This window comes from Homo sapiens, chromosome 5 (assembly GCF_000001405.40).
Source record: "Homo sapiens chromosome 5, GRCh38.p14 Primary Assembly".
Taxonomy (NCBI): domain Eukaryota; kingdom Metazoa; phylum Chordata; class Mammalia; order Primates; family Hominidae; genus Homo; species Homo sapiens.
This window is the reverse complement of record NC_000005.10, coordinates 162,545,414-162,566,967: the sequence shown is the minus strand read 5'-3', so window position 1 is coordinate 162,566,967 and position 21,554 is coordinate 162,545,414. Positions and strand designations below refer to the sequence as shown.

General features: G+C 36.7%; 1 long non-coding RNA gene across 1 annotated transcript in view; it reads left to right on the top strand.

Moving 5' to 3' along the window:
- Window positions 1–21,554, top strand: part of LOC105377697 (uncharacterized) — a 56,743-nt gene that overhangs the window by 24,718 nt on the left and 10,471 nt on the right. Inside the window, exons 2-7 of the long non-coding RNA XR_941159.2 lie at window positions 5,024–5,183; window positions 7,911–8,673; window positions 10,658–10,937; window positions 14,824–14,929; window positions 18,048–18,139; window positions 19,742–19,930. This is a non-coding gene — a long non-coding RNA (uncharacterized LOC105377697). The remainder of the gene's footprint in view (window positions 1–5,023; window positions 5,184–7,910; window positions 8,674–10,657; window positions 10,938–14,823; window positions 14,930–18,047; window positions 18,140–19,741; window positions 19,931–21,554) is intronic.

The window sequence follows — 21,554 nt, the reverse complement described above, 5'->3', positions numbered from 1 at the left end:
ACCTTTGAATATTAATAGGATTCACTTCATTAGACAAAAGCCATACCCACAAATGTCTTCAGGATAATAACTTCTCTACCTTATCCCTTTGCTACAGAACAACATCCTTAAGTTTCTTAGTTATATTGTTTGATTGAGAGACTGTTTGAATTATACCCTTACAAGAAATTTCATAAGGATACAGAAAGTCTAAACAAAACTGTAACAAAATTGGCCCCACTGACAGTATAGAATACTCCAGCCAACAACCAAAGAATGTGCATCCCACTCAAAGGCAAATGGAAAAATCATTAAGACAAACTGGACAATAAAGACAACCCCAATAAACTTAGAAGTAAAATCATACTAATAGGGTCTTCCACATCAGGGTGTAAATGCACTTTTCACTTGTCCTCTTGCTAATTATAGCTAAAACTCATGGACATTATATACAAAGCAACAGAAGAAATCTATGTTAGGTGAAAAGAAGAAGATAGAGCAGCCAAGAACATTAGATACAAGGAACAGGTAGTAGATTTTCTTGGTTTTCTTCTGCTTCATTTATCACAGAGTCAGTGCAGGAAAAGTCACTAACCTCCAAATGTCAATGAATGAGAGTAAAAAAGCCCCAGGAAAATCCCATTCTCTCCATTCAAAGATCAGAAAAGAGCAGCCTAGCAATAGAGAAAATACGTAGACAATAATTGCCATACTTCAACCTTAGCACAGGAAAACAAAGTGTGGTCTCACTCCTCAAACTCTCAGTGAAGGTGAATGGGAGCCTAGACTTTCATTCTTACCAGGATATGAAGAAACATCCCTCCCCTTCCTGCCTGGGTGGTGTCAGAGATGACCAAGTGGGGACTGAAGACTTTCATCCCCCTGGTGGAGAGCACATGGGAAGCCTAGACTTCCACTCCCACTCAGCAGTAAAAATCTGTTCATCCTCTTCCCCATTGGATTGGGGTGAGAAAAGGCCATGTGGGAAACCTGGACTTTCATGACCTTCCAGGATACCTGACTTCCTACCTCCTTGATGTATTCAGAGGCATGAGGGGAGCAATGTGAGGCAGCCCACCCAGCCAGGGTGGCAAGAGTGGAGGACTAGTGGGAGCCTGAACTCCCATCCATCCTTGCCCAGCTGTAATGAGGTGCCATTCTTCCTCACCAGGATGTCAACAGAAACCAAGTGGGGAACAGAGACTAACTTGAGCTGAGGTTTGGTCCAGTAGCTCACATGGGTGTCCAGACTCTGTTTTTCTCTGTGTATTTATTAGCTCCACTCTGGTTGGCCCCCTTCTTTGTAGGCTTTCACTTCGTGAGAGTGAAATGACTATTATCAGTTCCCACGGCAATGCTACTATTAGTACCCATATGCAATACCGTATCTACTCTAGATATATTCTATATCGAGTCAAAAAGAGAATGTTTACTTATTTAATACTTCCAACAATATATAATCCTGCAATTGAGTCTTCTTAGGGACATATTGTCTGAATTTGATCATATGTCCATTTGTTAACAAATCACCATAGGAAAGGAGTACTCATTCCCTGTCTTCTTCAAATAATTTTTAGGATATTATTGCAAAAGGGAAGATGAATGGGCATTGGGGAAGCAAGTAACAAAATTTGCTAAAACATAAACTCAGTGTTGGGTACATATGTATAATACCTATTATTTTGCAACTTTTTTCACTTATCAACTTATTAATTTCAAATCAAATTTTATAAAATTATTTTACTCTTCTCAGAGACTATGAGGTATTTTATTGTATAGACATATTACATCCTTTTCATGAACACGTAAGTAATTTTATGTTTTGTTTTCGTTTGGAGATGGGTTTTTTTTTGTTATTATAAGCAGTGATACAATAAATATCTTTGTATGTAAATTTATTTTAAAACAATTCATGGAGTTACAATTTCAGTAAGTTTCAAAGAAACAATAAACACTTTTCTTTCTTGCTTTCAAGAACTCACTGGAGGGTAAAACAATTTCAAGTATGAAAAAATTGATAGTCACTTGATGTTATATGAACATAGCAGATGGTAAGAGTAATGTGTAATTTTAACACATTTCAGGTTTCTGTAGCATGTTAGATATTAAAACATCATATCCTTCTTCTTCCTCAACACATTCATCTTAAGCTTCTTAAATTCTCAACCACATAGTACAGTTTATAACATAAAATAGAAAAGTGAGATGCTCGGCTTCATCTCCAATTTTAGTCAGATGCACACACACATAGCCACTTCTTCACCATAAATACTTCCCGTGAGCCTGATACAGCTTAATGTTTTCTGATGCTTTTGTTCAGTGCTCCAGTTTCCTATTTTGAAATATCCCTGCTAATTTATGAGCTATCCTTAAAATGCTATGTGAGTAACAACAGCAGATGCCTCAGTATACCTATTTTGTAAAGAATATCAGGCTATCCAAGATGCTATTTACAACTATATAAATTTTATTTTCATTTCCATGAGAGAATAGTGATGAGATTTTAGTGTAAAATGTGTTTTATAATCAGAAGGGGAGCAAATGATAGATTTAACATCTTATTTTTTATAATTTTCATTTTCTGATGAAAGATGTTCATTTCTGTTGATTCTTTCTGCCGATGATTTTACTCCCCTTTCCTTTATCCTTCAGCCTATGTGATAAGTCACTCTTTTATACCAGTTAAGGTTAAATTGTTGAGGATTTTAATTTTATTTTTCCATTTTGAACCCTAGTACCAAGAATAAGTGTGTCTTCCCTGAATACAGAATTTGTTTAAAAATGACTCATGGAGGTTGCAATTGTTTAAAGGCTCAATGTATTTTTTTCACCTAGAAGCTGACCAACATAGCATAAATAATTTGAACATTTATTGTATCCTCTGGGTTTTAAGTGGAACCACATGCATGGTTTCCTTCATCACCAGGAAAACCACTGGGATAGAAAATCATAAATACCTTTGTCTCACTAATGGAGAAATTGAGCCATTTCTGCCTTTCTCTGCTCTTGTCTCTTGTACCAGTAGCTCTAGACCTATACTTTAGTCACGTTGTAGTTTTACTATATCTGTCTACTGCCAATATATATACCCTCCATGTTTGTTTGTATTGATCTCATATTTTTTATTTTGTTTGCCTACTATTTTTTTCTTGCATTTCAGAACATTTTTCCCTTTTCTTATCATATCCCTCCTTCTGGATACTGATATTTCATATAGTATCCAGTTTCTCATATAGATCTTGTAAATATTTGTTAGATTTATACCTGTTTCATTTTAGGGCTGCTAATACAAATGATATTGCATTTTTAATTTTAAATTTCATTTGTTTATTGCTAGTACTTTATTTAGGAAAGTAAATGACTTTTGTAAACGCTGTATCCTGCAACCTTCCTATTATTGTTTATTAGTTCTAAAAGGTATTTTTTGTTTGATATTTTTAGATTTTCTATATAGACGATCATGGCATTTGTACACAAAAACAGTTTTGTTTCTTCCTTCTCAATTTGTGTATCTTTTATATCCATTGCTTGTCTTATTGTACTAGCTGTCAGCTATCATTTTTAAAAAATGTTACCTCACTTAATTAATCATTAATCCTATTCTATCCTAGAACTTAGATAATATGTTAATACTTAGTAAAATGAGTTACCATATTTTCATTTTTATAATAATTGTCAGACATTTCTTCAGACCTATCTTACAGTTCACTAATATGTCCTTTAGTTGTGATAAATGTGTTAGCTAATTTACCTAATCCATTTTATGATGTTAAATTTCAACAACTTGTGTTCATTTTTTGCATATATCCTTTTTCAATTTTAATACTCTGTCCTTCTCATACATTCATCTTGATACTATTTTAATAACCTTAAACATACTAAAAAATGCGTGCTGTTTTGTTTCTCATTAAACAGTATTTGGTTCTAATTTTGCCCTTCTTTTGTCTTTTGACCTTTGATCATAATGCCTTGTTTACTTGCATATCCTACATTTTTTTTTTTTCAATTGTCAGTACATATTCTGTGGAATTGTAGCCATGGACTGTCTTCTTTTTTTTTTTTTTTTTTTCTGAGACGGAGTCTTGCCCTGTCACCCAGGCTGGAGTGCAAGGGCATGATCTCGGCTCACTGCAACCTCCACCTCCCAAGTTCAAACGATAAACGATTCTCCTGCCTCAGCCTCCCAAGTAGCTGGGATTACAGGCACCTACCACCAAGCCCAGCTATGTTTTGTATTTTTAGTAGAGATGGGTTTCACCATGTTGGCGAGGCTGGTCTCCAACTCTTGACCTCGTAATCCACTCGCCTCGGCCTCTCAAAGTGCCGGGATTACAGGAATGAGCCACCACGCCCAGCCGCCATGGACCTTCTTTGGAACATTGAAGACATGCTTCTCCATAGAATACATGCATGTACTCTTGACATGCAATTGTGTGTATTCTCGACCTAATATAGATTTTTAACAATGAGTTGTTATAAATATTGGTTCTGTCCCTTAGTAGCTGTGTGACTTTTGGTAAGATACTGAACTTCTTCATATAATAAGTTTTGCATTCAAAAATTGATAATTATATTACCTAGCTAATAAGTTGCTGTAAAGTCATATAGTATATATTAACTCTGAATTTTCCAACTTGACAGGAATAATTAGTAATTCTAAAAATTGCCTCAAGCAATGTGTCATTATTTTCAAAATCAGGAATATAAAATGTATTTCTAATATATAAATGAAACTGAAATTTCAATCAAAATAAAACAATAACACTGATAAGGTAATTCCAAAGACATTTAAAATGTGTTTGTTTCTACCTATAATACTTGTTTATCTTTCCCTTGTCTTTGCAGTACATACTGGGGGAGAAAACAAGAGAATTCATCTCCCAACTGCTCCTGGCATGTACACACTATATACATTAATGGTTATGAAGAGATGGTAGAATATTTGCTGCTTTCTGCTTTAGGTTGTTTCTGTCCAGACTAATCTTTTGGAGACTATTTGTTTTCTCTTTGGTGATTTCATCTTGTCTTCTCTTGTTCTTCCCAGGTTCACAGAAAATAGAAATTCTTTACACAGTCTTCTGATCAATAGAATCAAAGCCCTTTTTCTGTAAATACTGGCTAGAGAGTTGCTAACTTCCATAATGGAGAAATGGAAAAAGCAGTTTCTTTCTCCAATAAAACCACAAAAGCCATGGTTTTAAAAGGTAATTTTATTTAGAAAATAAGGTAAGTAAAATAAAGAAAATATGATGCAGCTATATTGGGTGGATAGAATGAAAAAAAAGGAAAGAAAGTATTTTGCTGATATTACTTCTGCCACCAACAGCAACTCATCCCCAGATACCTAACAGTGATTTTCAGATGACTGGTACATGCCATGATACATGCGGTATACTCCCTGGATGGCAACAACAGGGTCTGACTCTCGTCTTCCTTTTATCATTTTATTTCACCTGGTCTGTTCATCAAGGCACAGATTTATAATATTCACTCTTTTCCCACTTCCAAATGTCAGTTTTGCATTTAGCTGTAAAGGCTCTGTCTTTGTTTTGTGGAAAGTGCTTTAGAAAAATGTCCTGAGGCTGAACACAGTGGTTCATGCCTGTAATCCCAGCACTTTAGGAGGCTGAGGCGGGTGTATCGCCTGAAGTCAGGAGTTCAAGACCAGACTGACCAACATGGTGAAACCCTGTCTCTACTAAAAATACAAAAAAAATTAGCTGGGCATGGTGGCAATTGCCTGTAATCCCAGCTACTGGGGAGGCTGAGGCAGGAGAATTGCTTGAACCCGGGAGGTGGAGGTTGCGATGAGCCAAGATCTCACCACTGCACTCCAGCCTGGGAGACAGAAAGAGACTTCATCTAAAAGAAGAAGGAAAAGGAGAAGAAAGGAGACAGGTGTTTCAACCTAATTTTAGAAGCATCAGCGTCAAGTAATATACTTAGATTGATCTAATAAAAACCTTTTTGAAGGAGGCTCAAATTAAAATAGAAACAAAAGATTTTTTTAGGAGGTATAGATGTAGTTGTGAGCCTAAAATATTTGCTTTGAAAGTAGCAATTTACTTTCCATGGAGTGCATACATCTGTTAAGAGCTCAGTAACATTTGCTTTGAATGTACGGTCTATAAAATCAAATTAGTCTAATCAGAATATATGACAATAAAAACAGTCTCTAATGCCTTTAAATAAAGTAAATAAATGCTAGCATGCAAATATTGTTACACATTATTCAAAAGTAAATTTTGAAACTTAAAAAATCTCCAAGATTTAGAAATAAGCATGTAATATTTTTTCTTTAAGAAAAATAAGTATTTAAAATAATTATACATGAGTTTATATTTACCACTGATTGTGTAATAAAATACTAAAAGATTATATATTTCCATGCTTAAAATACTTTCTATGGATTGTTAATGATTTTCATATCATCTGTACCTTTCTGTTTTTGCAAAATATTTATAATTGTTATATATTATGGTTATAATAAACACAACTTTTATCTTAGATCAAATAGAAAAGGCAAGGGAGATGTCTATTAGAGAAAAAAATGAATAAGAGAGCAGACACACATTTTATTTATTTTTTGCTTCAGCTTTGCAGGAGATAAAGGAAATTGAGTTAAATAACTGATTTTCTTATTCTGTTAGGTAGTTGAATGTTGCTAAGTGGTTAAGCAAAATTATGAAGCTGGGTGGAGGTATTCTGCACTGCTCTGGCAGAAAAATGCCTCTTGTATGCCATTTAGTTAGCCTGTATGTTGAGATAAAAGAATTAGAGATACTTCCAAAAGGTGCTACCTTATCCAAATAAATGAAATCTGCTTATTAATTTAAGTAAGCAACTGTTTTTCTGGGATCTGAAAGGAGGAATCAATATATGATATAGTCTTTTAAAATTTTATTATCTAAATAGAGAGGACAGGCTTAACATATTTGAAATGATTTTAGAACAGAATAAGTCAAGTTCTTTTGATTAAGCATAGAACAGTTTACCATAGTCTGCTGGGGAATTAGGAATTCAAATAATAAAACTATTGCTATTTTGAGGGGATTATCAAGAAAGCTTTTATAAGAGGTCTTAAAATGAGATTGGAAGCAAAGTTAGTTTTGGATTAATGGAAGGGTAGAAGGGCAATTCCTGAAAACAGTTCAGAATAGTTCAGAAAGCAGCAGGAAAGAATCAGGAATTTTCTTCAGTCCTAAATTGGAATGAAGAGAGAGGCGTGCTCATTAGAGTAGAGTCACAGCATCTATGCATTTGTTTTGACCTTATAAATTAACTGTTCACTCTTCCTAGCAAAACATAAGTAATCTTTTTTTTTTCTTTTTTTTTTTTTTTTTTTTTTTTGAGATGGAGTGTTGCTCTGTTGCCAGTCTGGAGTGCAGTGGCCCGATCTTGGCTCACTGCAACCTCGACCTCCCAGGTTCAAATGATTCTCCTGCCTCAGCCTCCCGAGTGGCTGGGACTACAGGCAAGTGCCACCACACCCGGCAAATTTTTGTATTTATGGTTGAGATGGGGTTTCACTATGTTGGCCAGGCTGGTCTCAAACTCCTGACCTCATGATCTGCCTGCAGTGGCATCCCAAAGTGCTGGGATTATAGGGGTGAGCCACCGCGCCCGGCAACATAACTAATCTTTAAGGGCATAGGAGGGGAGGTAAGTATATATTCTGGATTGAGTTACTCATCTGCTCCAACTTTCTTCTAGTTTACCTTTCAGTACTCAGAGAGGTAAGGAACATTGATTGCAGCCAGGCTACAATCCCATTTAGGTTTCACCTTCAGAAGCGATGTGTGAACTTTGAAAAGTTGAAGTGGAAGATAAGATGGTGGCCACATTTTTGCTGCTATTAGCTTTTCTCCTATACAGCACAGCACAGTCTTAAAAACATTTATCTCTCTCTTTCTCTTTTGCTTTTCCTGCAGAAACTATAGAGGATTTCTTGTGTGGAGTCCTTAGCTTTGTGACTGCTGAGATTTAAGACATAGGAAATCATGACTTCCTCGTGGCAGCCTCATGATTCTGAGATCACAGCACGTGCATTTGGTACAGCCAGCAGAGGTGGTGGTGTCTTCTCGAATTCCTGACCTTCTTTCCATGGCAGAAGAAGCAACCCTTTTGCTAACTGAGGTCTATGGTGGTGTTCCTGGAATCTCCATCTCTAACCTATTTACCTAATCCTTCCAAAAATCTTATATTGAATCTTTTCATGTTTAAATTATTTAGAATGGTTTGTGGTATCTGTAAACACTGACCAATGCTTCCCACAATAAAATCAGCAGTATGGAAAGAAAGAAAGCAGATGGTTAAATAGTTTCTAACATAATTGCTAAAAATACAGTTTGTATGTGGGCTTGGTTAAGGATCTGTTAAGCTGCAGCTAGATGCTTTGGCACTTATGTCTTGTCCACATAGTAACAATATACTCATTGATTACTACATCTTAGATTTATAGCTACTTAATAATATAACTTATTGGAGCAACACATCTGGGCAAGAGAAATTTCTTCTTAGTCCTCTTTTGTTTTACATTCCAAGCTATACATACGGTCATACTTCATTTTATTATGTATTGCAGATATTGCATTGTTTACAAATTGAAGATGTGTGGTGACCCCGCGACAAGCAAGTCTACCAAAGCCACTTTTCAGCAGCATCTTCTCACTTCCTGTCTCTGTTTCAATTATGGTAATTCTCACAATATGCCACCACACCTGGCTAATTTTCGTATTTTTTGTAGAGACAGAGTTTCACCATGTTGCCAGGCCAGTCCGGAACTCCTGAGTTCAAGTGATCCACCTGCCTCGGCTTCCCAAATTGCTGGGATGACAAGTATGAGCCACCATGCCTGGCCTGTAATCTTTGATGTTACTTTTGTAATTGTCTTTAGGTGCCACAAAGTGTGACAATATAAAACAATGTACTTAATTAATGTATGTGTTATGACTGTTCCACCAACCAGTTATTCCCCCATCTCCCTCCATCTCCCGGGGCCCCTCTATTTCCTGAGAAAGAATAATACTGAAATTAGTCCAGTTAATATAACTCTACAATAACCTCTAGTGTTCAGCTGAAAGGAAGAGTCACACATATTTCACTTTAGATCAAAAGCTAGAAATGATCAAGCTTAGTCAGGAAGGCATGCCAAAAGCTGCGATAGGCTGAAAGCTAGGCCTCTTGACACCAAACAGTTAGCCAAGTTGTGGATGCAAAGGAAAAATTCTTGAAGAAAAGTAAAAATGCTACTCTAGTGAACACATGAATGATAAGAAAGTGAAACCACCTGATTGTTGACATGGATAAAGTTTTAGTGGTCTAGATATATCAAAACATCCACAACATTCCCTTAAGCCAGAGACTAATCTACAGCAAGGCTCTAACAATTCTGTTCCTCAGTTCTTCAAGTCTAATTCTATGAAGGCTGAGGAAGATAAGGAAGCTACAGAAGAATAGTTTGAATATTATATTCAAATAATTCACAGCAGAGGTTAATATTAATATCTCTGAATATTAATAGCAGAGGTTGGTTCATGAAGTTTAAGGAAAGAATATGTTTCCATAACCATAAAAGTACAAGCTGAAGCAGTAAGTACTGATGTAGAAGCTACAGCAAATTATCCTGAAGATCTAGCTAAGATAATTGATAAAGGTGGCAACACTAAACAGATTTTCAGTATAGACAAAATAGCCTTCTATTGGAGACAATGCCATCTAAGACTTTCATAGGTAAAGAGGAGAAGTCAACGTCTGGCATCAAAGCTTCAAAGGAGAGGCTGACCCTCTTGTTAGAGGTTAAGACAGCTGGTAACTTTAAGTTAAATACTCATTTAACATTCCAAAAATCCTAGGACCCTTAAGAATTGTGCTAAATTTATTCTGCCTGTGCTCTATAAATGAAACAATGAAGACTGGGTGACAGCACATCTGTTTATAGCAATTTTGATAGTAAAATGCTATCAAACAGCATTGCATGTTACAGAGAAATCTTTCGTGAAATAATCAACTGATGTGGCAAACTTCATTGTTTTATTTTAAGAAATTGCCTCAGCCACCCCTACTTCAGCAACCTTTATTCTGATCCATCAGCATTCATCAACATTGTGACAAGATCTTCCACCAGCAAAAAGATTATGACTGGCTAAAGGCTCTGATAATTATTAACATTTTTTAGCAACAAAGCATTTTTTAATTAAGGTATATATACTTTTTAGACATAATGCTACTGCACACAATAGTCAACACTATAGTGTAAACATAACTTTTATATGCACTGGAAAACTACAAAATATTTGTGACTTGTTTTATTGTGGTATTTGCTTTATCTCAGTGGTCTGAAACCAAACACAAAATGTCTCTAAGGTGTGCCTGTATTTGATTGTTATCTTAAAAGGCAGAAATATTTAAATATTCAAATATAAAAAAATTGTTATTTCTTATTTACTTTCCATTTTTGTTAGATTAGCTTCACCTTTGGCAAAATAACTCTTAGTGTCCTCATCTCTGAGACGAAGGTAAAAACTCAAACCAACTTCATAGGGTTATCATGAGGAATACACAAATTAATGAATTGGGTCAGGAGGTTCCACAGGACCCTCCTAAGACTTGATGATTGAATGAAACAACTCACATGATTCAGAAAAGCTGCTATACTAATAGTTATTGTTTATTACAGAGAACAGATGTAGAGATTAGAATCGGCAAAGGGAAAAGGCCCATGGGATGAAGGCCAGAAGAAATCAAGCTACAAGTTTTTCTCTCCAGTGGAGTCCCATGAGGATGCACACAACTCTCCCAGCAGCAATGTGGGACAACACATGCAAAGTATTGGCCATCAGGGAAGCTCCCCCCAGCTTTGGTCACCAGGGTTTTTTATTGGTTGTCAGTCATGCACACATTCAGTGCTTCTGTGACTGACCTCACCCACCAGACTGTAACCTCAAGAGCAAAATCAGGTATTCACCATAAATCAGACTGTTAGGATAAACTTATATGCTCAAATTGCCATAGCATGGCCCAAGGCCTCAGGCTTATGGAAATATTATCAGGCAGGGTATTCCAGGAGCTCAGAAATTGTCTCCAGGAGACGAATGGGACAGGGAAGGTAGGAGGTTGTAGCAACTTGCTAAAATGGGAGACATTTCACAAGAAAAAATCAGTTGTAGAAAATCCTCATTCATCAAAGGGTCACTGTATTCTTGGGCATAAAACCTTGACTGCACATATTTCCAGCTGTGCTTACATTAAAAATTCCCAAAGGGATTTGTTGGAAGTAAGAAGAGAAAAATGATCAGTCTAAATCTACAGAGTGACTGCAGAGGCATGGATTAGTACATGTGAATACTGAATATGCAAATCAATAAAGAAAACACATTTATTCTTGAGGCAAAAAAAGCAATGCAATGAAAAAAAATTAAGGTTAACTTCATCGGGAAGCATTAACCATAACATGTATTCTCACTCACATACTTTAGGAAAATGAGAAGAATAGCTCCAATTTATTGATTTATTTCACTCAAATATTCATTGCTACTGACTATCTATCATTCACTCATTTATTCATCCATTCATTTAATCAACATATATGGAATACCCAATATGTGATAGGTACTTTTCTAGGCATTGAACCCAATGAGCAGAGCAGATTAAAGGCCTGCTCTCATGCAACTTACTTTGTACTAAAGGAAACAGCAACAAACAAACACATGAAATCATTTCAAAATTTTCTCCCATTTTGTAGGTTGCCTGTTCACTCTGATGGTAGTTTCTGTTGCTGTGCAGAAGCTCTTTAGTGTAATTAGATCCCATTTGTCAATTTTGGCTTTTGTTGCCATTGCTTTTGGTGTTTTAGACATGTGGGCTTCATCCCTGGGATGCAAGGCTGGTTCAATATACACAAATCAATAAATGTAATCCAGCATATAAACAGAACCAAAGACAAAAACCACATGATTATTTCAATAGATGCAGAAAAGGCCTTTGACAAAATTCAACAACGCTTCATGCTAAAAACTCTCAATAAATTAGGTATTGATGGGACGTATCTCAAAATAATAAGAGCTATCTATGACAAACCCACAGCCAATATCATACTGAATGGGCAAAAACTGGAAGCATTCCCACTGAAAACTGGCACAAGACAGGGATGCCCTCTCTCACCACTCCTATTCAACATAGTGTTGGAAGTTCTGGCCAGGGAAATTAGGCAGGAGAAGGAAATAAAGGGTATTCCATTAGGAAAAGAGGAAGTCAAATTGTCCCTGTTTGCAGATGACATGATTGTATATCTAGAAAACCCCATTGTCTCAGCCCAAAATCTCCTGAAGCTAGTAAGCAACTTCAGCAAAGTCTCAGGATACAAAATCAATGTACAAAAATCACAAGCATTCTTATACACCAATAACAGACAAACAGAGAACCAAATCATGAGTGAACTCCCATTCACAATTGCTTCAAAGAGAATAAAATACCTAGGAACCCAACTTACAAGGGATGTGAAGGACCTCTTCAAGGAGAACTACAAACCACTGATCAATGAAATAAAAGAGGATACAAACAAATGGAAGAACATTCCATGCTCATGGGTAGGAAGAATCAATATCGTGAAAATGGCCATACTGCCCAAGGTAATTTATAGATTCAATGCCATCCCCATCAAGCTACCAATGACTTTCTTCACAGAATTGGAAAAAACTACTTTAAAGTTCATATGGCACCAAAAAAGAGCCCACATCGCCAAGTCAATCTTAAGCCAAAAGAACAAAGCTGGAGGCATCATGCTACCTGACTTCAAACTACACTACAAAGCTACAGTAACCAAAACAGCATGGTACTGGTACCAAAACAGAGATATAGATCAATGGAACAGAACGGAGCCCTCAGAAATAACGCCGCATATCTACAACTATCTGATCTCTGACAAACCTGACAAAAACAAGCAATGGGGAAAGGATTCCCTATTTAATAAATGGTGCTGGGAAAACTGGCTAGCCATATGTAGAAAGCTGAAACTGGATCCCTTCCTTACACCTTATACAAAAATTAATTCAAGATGGATTAAAGACTTAAACGTTAGACCTAAAACCATAAAAACCCTAGAAGAAAACCTAGGCATTACCATTCAGGACATAGGCATGGGCAAGGACTTCACCATCAAAAAGTGGGCAAAAGACATGAACAGACATTTCTCAAAAGAAGACATTTATGCAGTCAAAAAATGCATGAAAAAATGCTCACCATCACTGGCTATCAGAGAAATGCAAATCAAAACCACAATGAGATACCATCTCACACCAGTTAGAATGGCAATCATTAAAAAGTCAGGAAACAACAGGTGCTGGAGAGGATGTGGAGAAATAGGAAGACTTTTACACTGTTGGTGGGACTTTAAACTAGTTCAACCATAGTGGAAATCAGTGTGGCAATTACTCAGGGATCTAGCACTAGAAATACCATTTGACCCAGCCATCCCATTACTGGGTATATACCCAAAGGACTATAAATCATGCTGCTATAAAGACACATGCACACATATGTTTATTGTGGCACTATTCACAATAGCAAAGACTTGGAACCAACCCAAATGTCCAACAATGATAGACTGGATTAAGAAAATGTGGCACATATACACCATGGAATACTATGCAGCTATAAAAAATGATGAGTTCGTGTCCTTTGTAGGGACATGGATGAAATTGGAAATCATCATTCTCAGTAAACTGTCACAAGAACAAAAAACCAAACACCACATCTTCTCACTCATAGGTGGGAATTGAACAACGAGAACACATGGACACATCCATGTAGGGGAACATCACACTCCGGGGACTGTTGTGGGGTGGGGGGAGGGTGGAGGGATAGCATTAGGAGATATACCTAATGCTAAATGACGAGTTAATGGGTGCAGCACACCAGCATGGCACATGTATACATAAGTAACTAACCTGCACATTGTGCACATGTACCCTAAAACTTAAAGTATAATAATAATAAAAATAAATAAATAAAATAAAATCATTTCAAGTGATGTTAAGTGGTACTAAGAAAATAATAATTGAAGCAATAAAGCCTCAGGTTTTATAGAAGCAGTTGAACTTTGTCATTTTAACTACATATCCGGAAGCCTTAAGAAGAAGTTGAAAGACTATCAATTCCTATAAAAACATATCTATGAGGATATTGTATTAATTTCCAAATATGCTGTAACAAACTACTGTAAACTTGGTGGCTAAAAACAGCACATATTTATTATCTTACAGTTTTGGAGGTCAAAAATCTGAAATGGGTCTCATTGGAGTAAATCAAGGTATAGCAGGGCTGTGTTCCTTCTGCATTGTTCCTTCTAGAGGAAAATTAGTTTTTCATACTTTTTCCAACTCTAAAGGCTGCCTACTTTACTTGGCTTGTGGCTTCTTTCCATCGTCAAACCCAGCAATAGCTAGTAAAGTCTTTCTCTTGCTGTATCACTCTTAACAGTGAGTCTTCTCTCTCCTTCTTCCACCTTTTCCTAGCCCTTGGATTACTTTGGGCACACATAGATAATCTAGTATAATCTTCCTATTTTAAAGTTAACTGATTAGCCACCTTAAATCCATCTGCAATCTTAAATCCACTTTGCCATATATCACAACATATTTATAGCTTCCGAAAATGTGGATATGGACATCTTTGTGGGAGCCATTTTTCTTCTGCCTACCACAATCAGCTGCACTTACTTGAATGCAAAAGAAGCAATCTCTCTATAAAACTCAAAGGCTACATTTGTTTGAGTGTTCCCTCTCTATTTTATTATGTTAAATTCGATATTTGAAAATCTAAAATTAACATCTCTTGGTCTTACAGATTTTTTTAGTGTGCAAAATGTCTTTCTCAATATTGAAAATCCATATGAGTACATGGACAATTTCACATACCATGTGGACTTGCGAAATATTACCTAATTTAGAGGGTAAGTAAAAAAATCAAAATAAAGTTTGCAAATGATTGTTTACTTCATGCAAAGAATTATGCAAAATATTGTTATATATGATTCTGATTATAGGTAAAGACAGCTAATATCCTCTAAAATTGTGATACAGTGAAAGAAGCTGAGGGAAAAGGCAGGCAATAAAAGTTGCTCCAATTGGAATCAGACATTCTACACAATACCACTGAAGTGGCACGGTAGTGCAGGCTAGCCAAATTTGATTAACAATTCTCCTTTTATATCTAGGGTCAGGCATGAATAGATATGGTATTCTGCCATCCTTTATTATTTCTCTGTTAACCACAGTAACAATTTTCACTCAGTTTTCTTAGAATGTTTGGTTTTCTTCTTCTTGCTAGTTGAAATACAAAATTTTTATAGTATGCTACTCACCTCCTCTCTTTATGGGAAGGACCCAAATATTACTTATCACACCAAATCATTGAATAAAACCAAGATCCATCTGGGAAATTTCCAGTGTTTAAGGGCAACTAGAAAAGGTGCATGGAGAACATGAAACAATGTAATTTGGGAATAACAAGGGCAAATCATTTCAAAATGGAGACCAAGTCCTCAGTGATCTCACTTCCCTATTACTATTTGTAAATGCTCATGATGTTTATTATGGGATGCAATTTATTTCCAGTGATGGAGTTGGGGAGGATTATTGGATTTATTCAGGATGCTAGAGGTACACATATTTCAGTGGCTAACCCTGGAGACACAGGCAAAAAATTATTAAGCAAATTTGACACCTTCAGATATCTTCCTGTCACTTAAGAGCTAATGTCTAGAAACTCTGTTTTATTCCAATTGGAGCCACCCTCAATATGTATCTTGTTTTTTAATAAAAGAAGATTGTGAAAGGTTCTAAGTATCAAAATGTATCCTTTTGAACTAAGGTGAGATTAAGCATAGCCTACTCCTCCATTATGACAAATGTCATGACAGCAATCCAGTCTCAGAAGAAATTGAAACCAGGACCATCTTCTCATATTGCCAGAGGACTCCAGATTTCCCTGGATAGTCAATGATTGTAGTATCAGAAGGTATTGCTATGGACATTGTTACAACTAACTTGTGAAGTGGGAAAAGTTCCCTTGTTCCCTCACAGGACGTGCGATGGGGGTGTGGCTCACTTCCTCAGTGCCCCGCTGCTGGGACCTCTAGGGGAGCATATAGATGTGCAGGCTGTGGGGCTCCGACCCCAAGGCAGTGTCTAGGGGTGAATGTTTATGGCTCCTGAAGCCCCAGTGGTTGTGTGTTACAGGGTGCTCTTTTAGTTTGCCTATAGGCGGCTTGTGTTAGCTCAATTAGACCCTCTTATTGTTGCAAGGAGAGAAGGCTTTCTGTATCCTAGGTTCTTGCCTTGGAGTACTGGAAGAATCGGATCACACCTGGGCTTGGAGAATGAGTGCAAGGTTTTATTGAGTGGAAGTAGCTCTCAGCAGATGGGGGACATAGAAGGGAGATAGCTTTCCCCTGGAGTTGGCCATCAGTAGCCCGGGCTCTTCTCTGACTGCCCTGGCCAAACTCCACGTCGTTCTGCCAGTTGGTGGCCTGCTGGTGTGCCCGTGCCTGTCGGTGCTTTCCTCTAGAAGTCCAACCGCCTGTGTGTTCCTCCGCCAATGTGCTTCTCTCCACGTCCACCTGTCTCTGTGCCTTCTTTCGCGGATCTGCTCCTCTCAACGTCCAGCCTCTTGTGTATCTTCCCACTAAGGTCTCAAGTTTTTGTTTTAGTTTTTGTTTTGAGACGGAGTTTCACTCTTGTTGCTTGGAGTACAATGGTGCATTCTTGGCTCACTGCAACCTCCGCCTCTTGGGTTCAAGAGATTCCCCTGCCTAGGCCTCCCGAGTAGCTGGGATTACAGGCATGCACCACTACGCCCGGCTAATGTTTTTGTATTTTTAGTAGAGAGGGGCTTCACCATGTTGGCCAGGCTGGTCTCGAACTCCTGACCTCAGGTGATCCACCCGCCTCAGCCTCCCAAAGTGCCCGTATCACAGGCACCAGCCACTGCATCCAGCAGGTCTCAAGTTTTTATAGGTCCAGGCTAGGGTGGTCTTGGAAAATGCAACATTTGGGCTCCAAAGCAGGAGTGCCTGTCCTCACCTGGGTCCATGGTGTGGAGCCCTAGCCAGGGACCACACTCACCTCCACCCAGTACTTCCCTTTCTCTCTTCCATATCATTTAAAGGGACCACACTCTTCCCTTCCCAGAACTCTGGCATCACTAGGATCTATTTCCCTGTGGCTGTGATTATTTAGTCTAAAAGAATATAACTTACTTAAGACAAATGTCATTTGTCTGAAAGAATCTTTGGAGGTTTTCATGGCTCATGTGATGCATCCTATGTCTTTGAAACCAGAAAACATTCTGGTCTTTGTTTAACTCAAAATAAATGAATTTGTAATATTTTATGAACTCTAAAATTATAGTTGTGCTTTAAGTTGCTTTCCATCTATTGTATCTCTTGTGTAAACACAACTCCATGACAGCCTGTATCCTTGGGGTGGGAGTGGGAAAATAATGTTGTAATAGAAGAAAACTTACTAAGGAGATCTGTGTTTAATTACAATATATGTGGTTTATTCTGAAAGAACTTGGAGTTTTCTTTATTATTCTAAATTGTCCAAGACCAGACTGCTTGAATGCCCTAGTCCAAATGGCAAATGTCTCTCTTTCTATAGTTTATACACAGAACAGGAAAAAACAGTCATTCTTCATCTCCCTTCTTATTCTTGTTTACAAAAGACTTTAACTAGGTCTTATGTCTGGGGATTCCTTTAAAAGTATTATTCTAGTTCAGCTAGCTGAGAATGAATAGAACAAAGAGAAGTCATTATCCCAGGGAGGCTTTAAAGTTTCCTGAAGTCACTTGTAATGCCATTTTAATAGCATATATAGAGAACCATTCTGGCTAAAATATCCTGGGGGTCTTGACCACTAACATCATGGAGGAATGGAGGTTAAACAAGCACAAACACTGGACCAGAGTGAGAAAAACAGGATACCAGCAAAGTTCCTGCTACTCATTATGCTTGGCCATAGGCAGTACCTTCTCTCTGGAGCTGAGATTTTTCTGTCCATAAATACAGGTTTGAAAGCTCAGAAGTTGTGTCCGGAGTTGTTTCCTTCCGGTGGGTTCATAGTCTCACTGACTTCAAGAATGGAGCCACGGACCTTCACGGTGAGTGTTACAGCTCAGAAAGATGGCACAGACCCAAAGAGTGAGCAGGAGCAAGATTTATTGTGAAGAGCGAAAGAACAAAGCTTCCACAGCCTGGAAGGGGACCCGAGTGGGTTGCCCCTGCTGGCTGGGGTGGTCAGCTTTTATTCGCTTATTTGTCCCCACCCATGTTCCGTTTTTGTCCTATCAGAGTGCCCTTTTTTCAATCCTCCCTCCAATTGGCTACTTTTAGGATCCTGCTGATGGGTGCGTTTTACAGAGCGCTGATTGGTGCATTTTACAATCCTCTTGCTAGCTACAGAGCACTGATTGGTGCGTTTTACAATCCTGGCTACAGAGCGCTGATTGGTGCGTTTTACAATCCTCTTGTAAGGCAGAAAAGTTCTCCAAGTCCCCACTCCACCCAGGAAGTGTAGCTGGCTTCACCTCTCAAAGTGACCTTCATCTTCACTGAAGGCTTAGGAGAAGAGGTAGAGCATTATATTGACCTATTTTACAAATTAAGCTTCCACTTGAGAGTTCTCTTAGATAAAAGGTGAATCCTAGATTTTATCTGATGTGCCTGAGAATTCTTTTGTTTTATGAAATGGAATTTTACTTATGAGTTTAATTCATTTATTGATTGATTCTCATTAATCAAATATTTATTGAAAATATAGTCTGGCAATTAATGTTTGGCAATCAATGGATACTTAAAGATTCTCTTCCACCTGGATACTGTGTGGATTTAATTAAGTTCTTATTTTCTTATAATCTCAGGCATTCCTTAAATTGGAATGTTACAAACTATTGATAAGAGAGAAATTTTGAATGTGAAAGGAGAGCTAAATTTATTTGCGGGTAGATTAAATGATATTCTATGTGGTATGATTCAAGCAGCATAAAAAATCCTCCTGAAATATTCTACCACTACCCTTTTTCTAATTCCTAAAAATTCATAATTAATAAGTCATGAACTTATTAATTATGGGACTTCTAAAAAAAGGAAAAGCATCTGTAGAAATGGAAATTCTAAAAACAGGAAAAATAAAGTCATTAATATTCAGCAATAAACATTCAACGTGTATTAAATGTAGACCTATTTTGGGTTAGGCTTAGTTTATTTTTTAATACAACAACAGAGAATTCTAAAGGAAAGGAATTGTTCAATGAAGTGGAAGTACCTATGAATCTATTAATTTAATGCCTTAATACATTTTGTAGAACATTCTATACCAGCATTGTGGTCTTTGAGCAGTATCCCTTTTCCCTCGCCAGATTTTAAACAAAATAAGAAATAAGACAAAATGTAAGATAAGTGGGAGGTGTAAATATCACCATTTTATTAATAAAAATCAAGTTAAACAATTTAGTTTTGTGTAAAAACAAATAGGCCTGTTAATTAAAACCCCAAATTAGGCAGACTTACCTATCATGCTATGGTAATATTGGGCTAAGGCAGCCTCTCATGTGTTCAAAGACAGACCAGGTAGGAGTGAAGGTGTGGTAGAGAGGGAAAGAGCAGCTAATCTCTGTGGGCAGCCGCTCATGTCCATATAAGAAAAAAGTCGGGGAGAGAAATTTAAGCATGTTCCGTTTATTCTTTCCAAATTTATCAACCAGATAAGTCATTCCACTTCTTCTGAGGGAGTGAAGAAAGAGGCCAAGTTCAGAATTGTACCAATTGACTACCTTGACCTGGACATAAGCACCAGAATGGTTGCACTCAACAACAAAGACTGTACTGGGAATAGAAAGATGAACAAGACAGTGCACTTCCCTTCAAAGAGCTTACAGAATCACAACCAGCAGGTAAAATAGAACACATCCCAGCTTAGAATCTTAGACGCTTACCTGTAAAATAAGAATGATGATACAAACCTCACATATTTGTTGTTTGAAGTCAGTGAGATTTTGTGTATAAAGTATGTACCATCATATCTAGCTGGAGAAATAATTTAATAGACGTTTGTTTCTCATCTCCGCTTTCCACATTCAGGTTGCCTCTACACTGTGTGGAATGAAATAGGTTCTATGTTTTTAAGATATTCTAGACCTCTAAGAATTCTTTAACAAATGGAAGATCAAAGTTATAAGCATTTTATTTAGGGACTGTGAGTCAGAAGATAGACATTTGATAGCATTAAATATTAAAGGAACAGAAATAAGTTAGCCTTTACCTGCCTCTGATGATAAAGACTGTTGTAGCAAACATTGGTTGAAAAAAAAAAAAACCATAAAGTAATATAACTTTGTTTCTGGCAGTGCAGCAGTCTTAGCCTTCAGCAACTAAATACTCAAAAAATGTAATCGAATTCTTGAAAGACAGAATCTGTCAATCTAAAATTTTGTGAAAAGATAAGCTGTTTTTCAAGAATGAGGACAAACTAAAGGCATTATTAAAGGGAAAAAACTGAGACTGTTTAACAACCATAAATCCTCACTTAAGAACTTTCAAGCAGAAGAGAAATGACATTAGAATGAAAGTTTGAGTTGCAAAGAGTAAAAACATATATAGAAATTGGTAAATATGGGATACATATGAACAAACAGTATTTGTTCATATGTATCCCATATTTACAATACAATAAATACAAAATACAATATTTATTGTGTTTTACAAATAGTGTTTGTAAAATAGTATTACATAATGCTTAATTAAAGGTGTAAAAGTAAAGTTTTGGCAAAAAAAAAACATAAGTTGTTAGGCTGGCAGAGTTAAACATGTAAACACATCTTATTTGAATGGAAGGTAGATACGGATTGACTTTAGAACTTGTGAAGTGTACATGTATATTTGTTGAAGTTAAACACTTAAAATGGGATATATATTTAGAAACATCTAAGTTAGTAGAGGATAAAAATTGAGACAAAATTTAAAAACTTAATTTATTGAAAAGAAGGCAAGAATGAAGGGTGCATTATAGAGAAAGTAGAACTACAACACCACAACCAAAAACCCAAAGATGTGAGAAACATCTCAGCTTATCTATAATCCCAGTAATCACAAAGACAATAAATTCACTAGGTAGATGACAAAAATTATCATCACAGTGGAATAAAGATCAAAGTTTATGTTACTTCTAAGAGATTCACCTAAAAACACAAGGACAAGTATTAGAGTACAAGTATAAGGAATAAATATAACAGGAAAGTAATACACAAAATAAAGTTTGAACAGTTAAAATAACATAAAAAAAGAAAACTTTACCAGAAAAATTTTTGAAAGGAACATCATTAGGAATAGAGGTAGTCATAGCATGAGAAAGGTCCAATTCTTGAGAGAAATACAATAATTTTATCTTGTTTGGACCTAATAGCTCCAAACACACAAATAATACAGTCAATACATCTACAAGAAAAGCTGCACAGTTTAGTACTATAATGGCCATAATATACTCCATCACTTTGGGTTACTTACATGCCAAGCAAATAA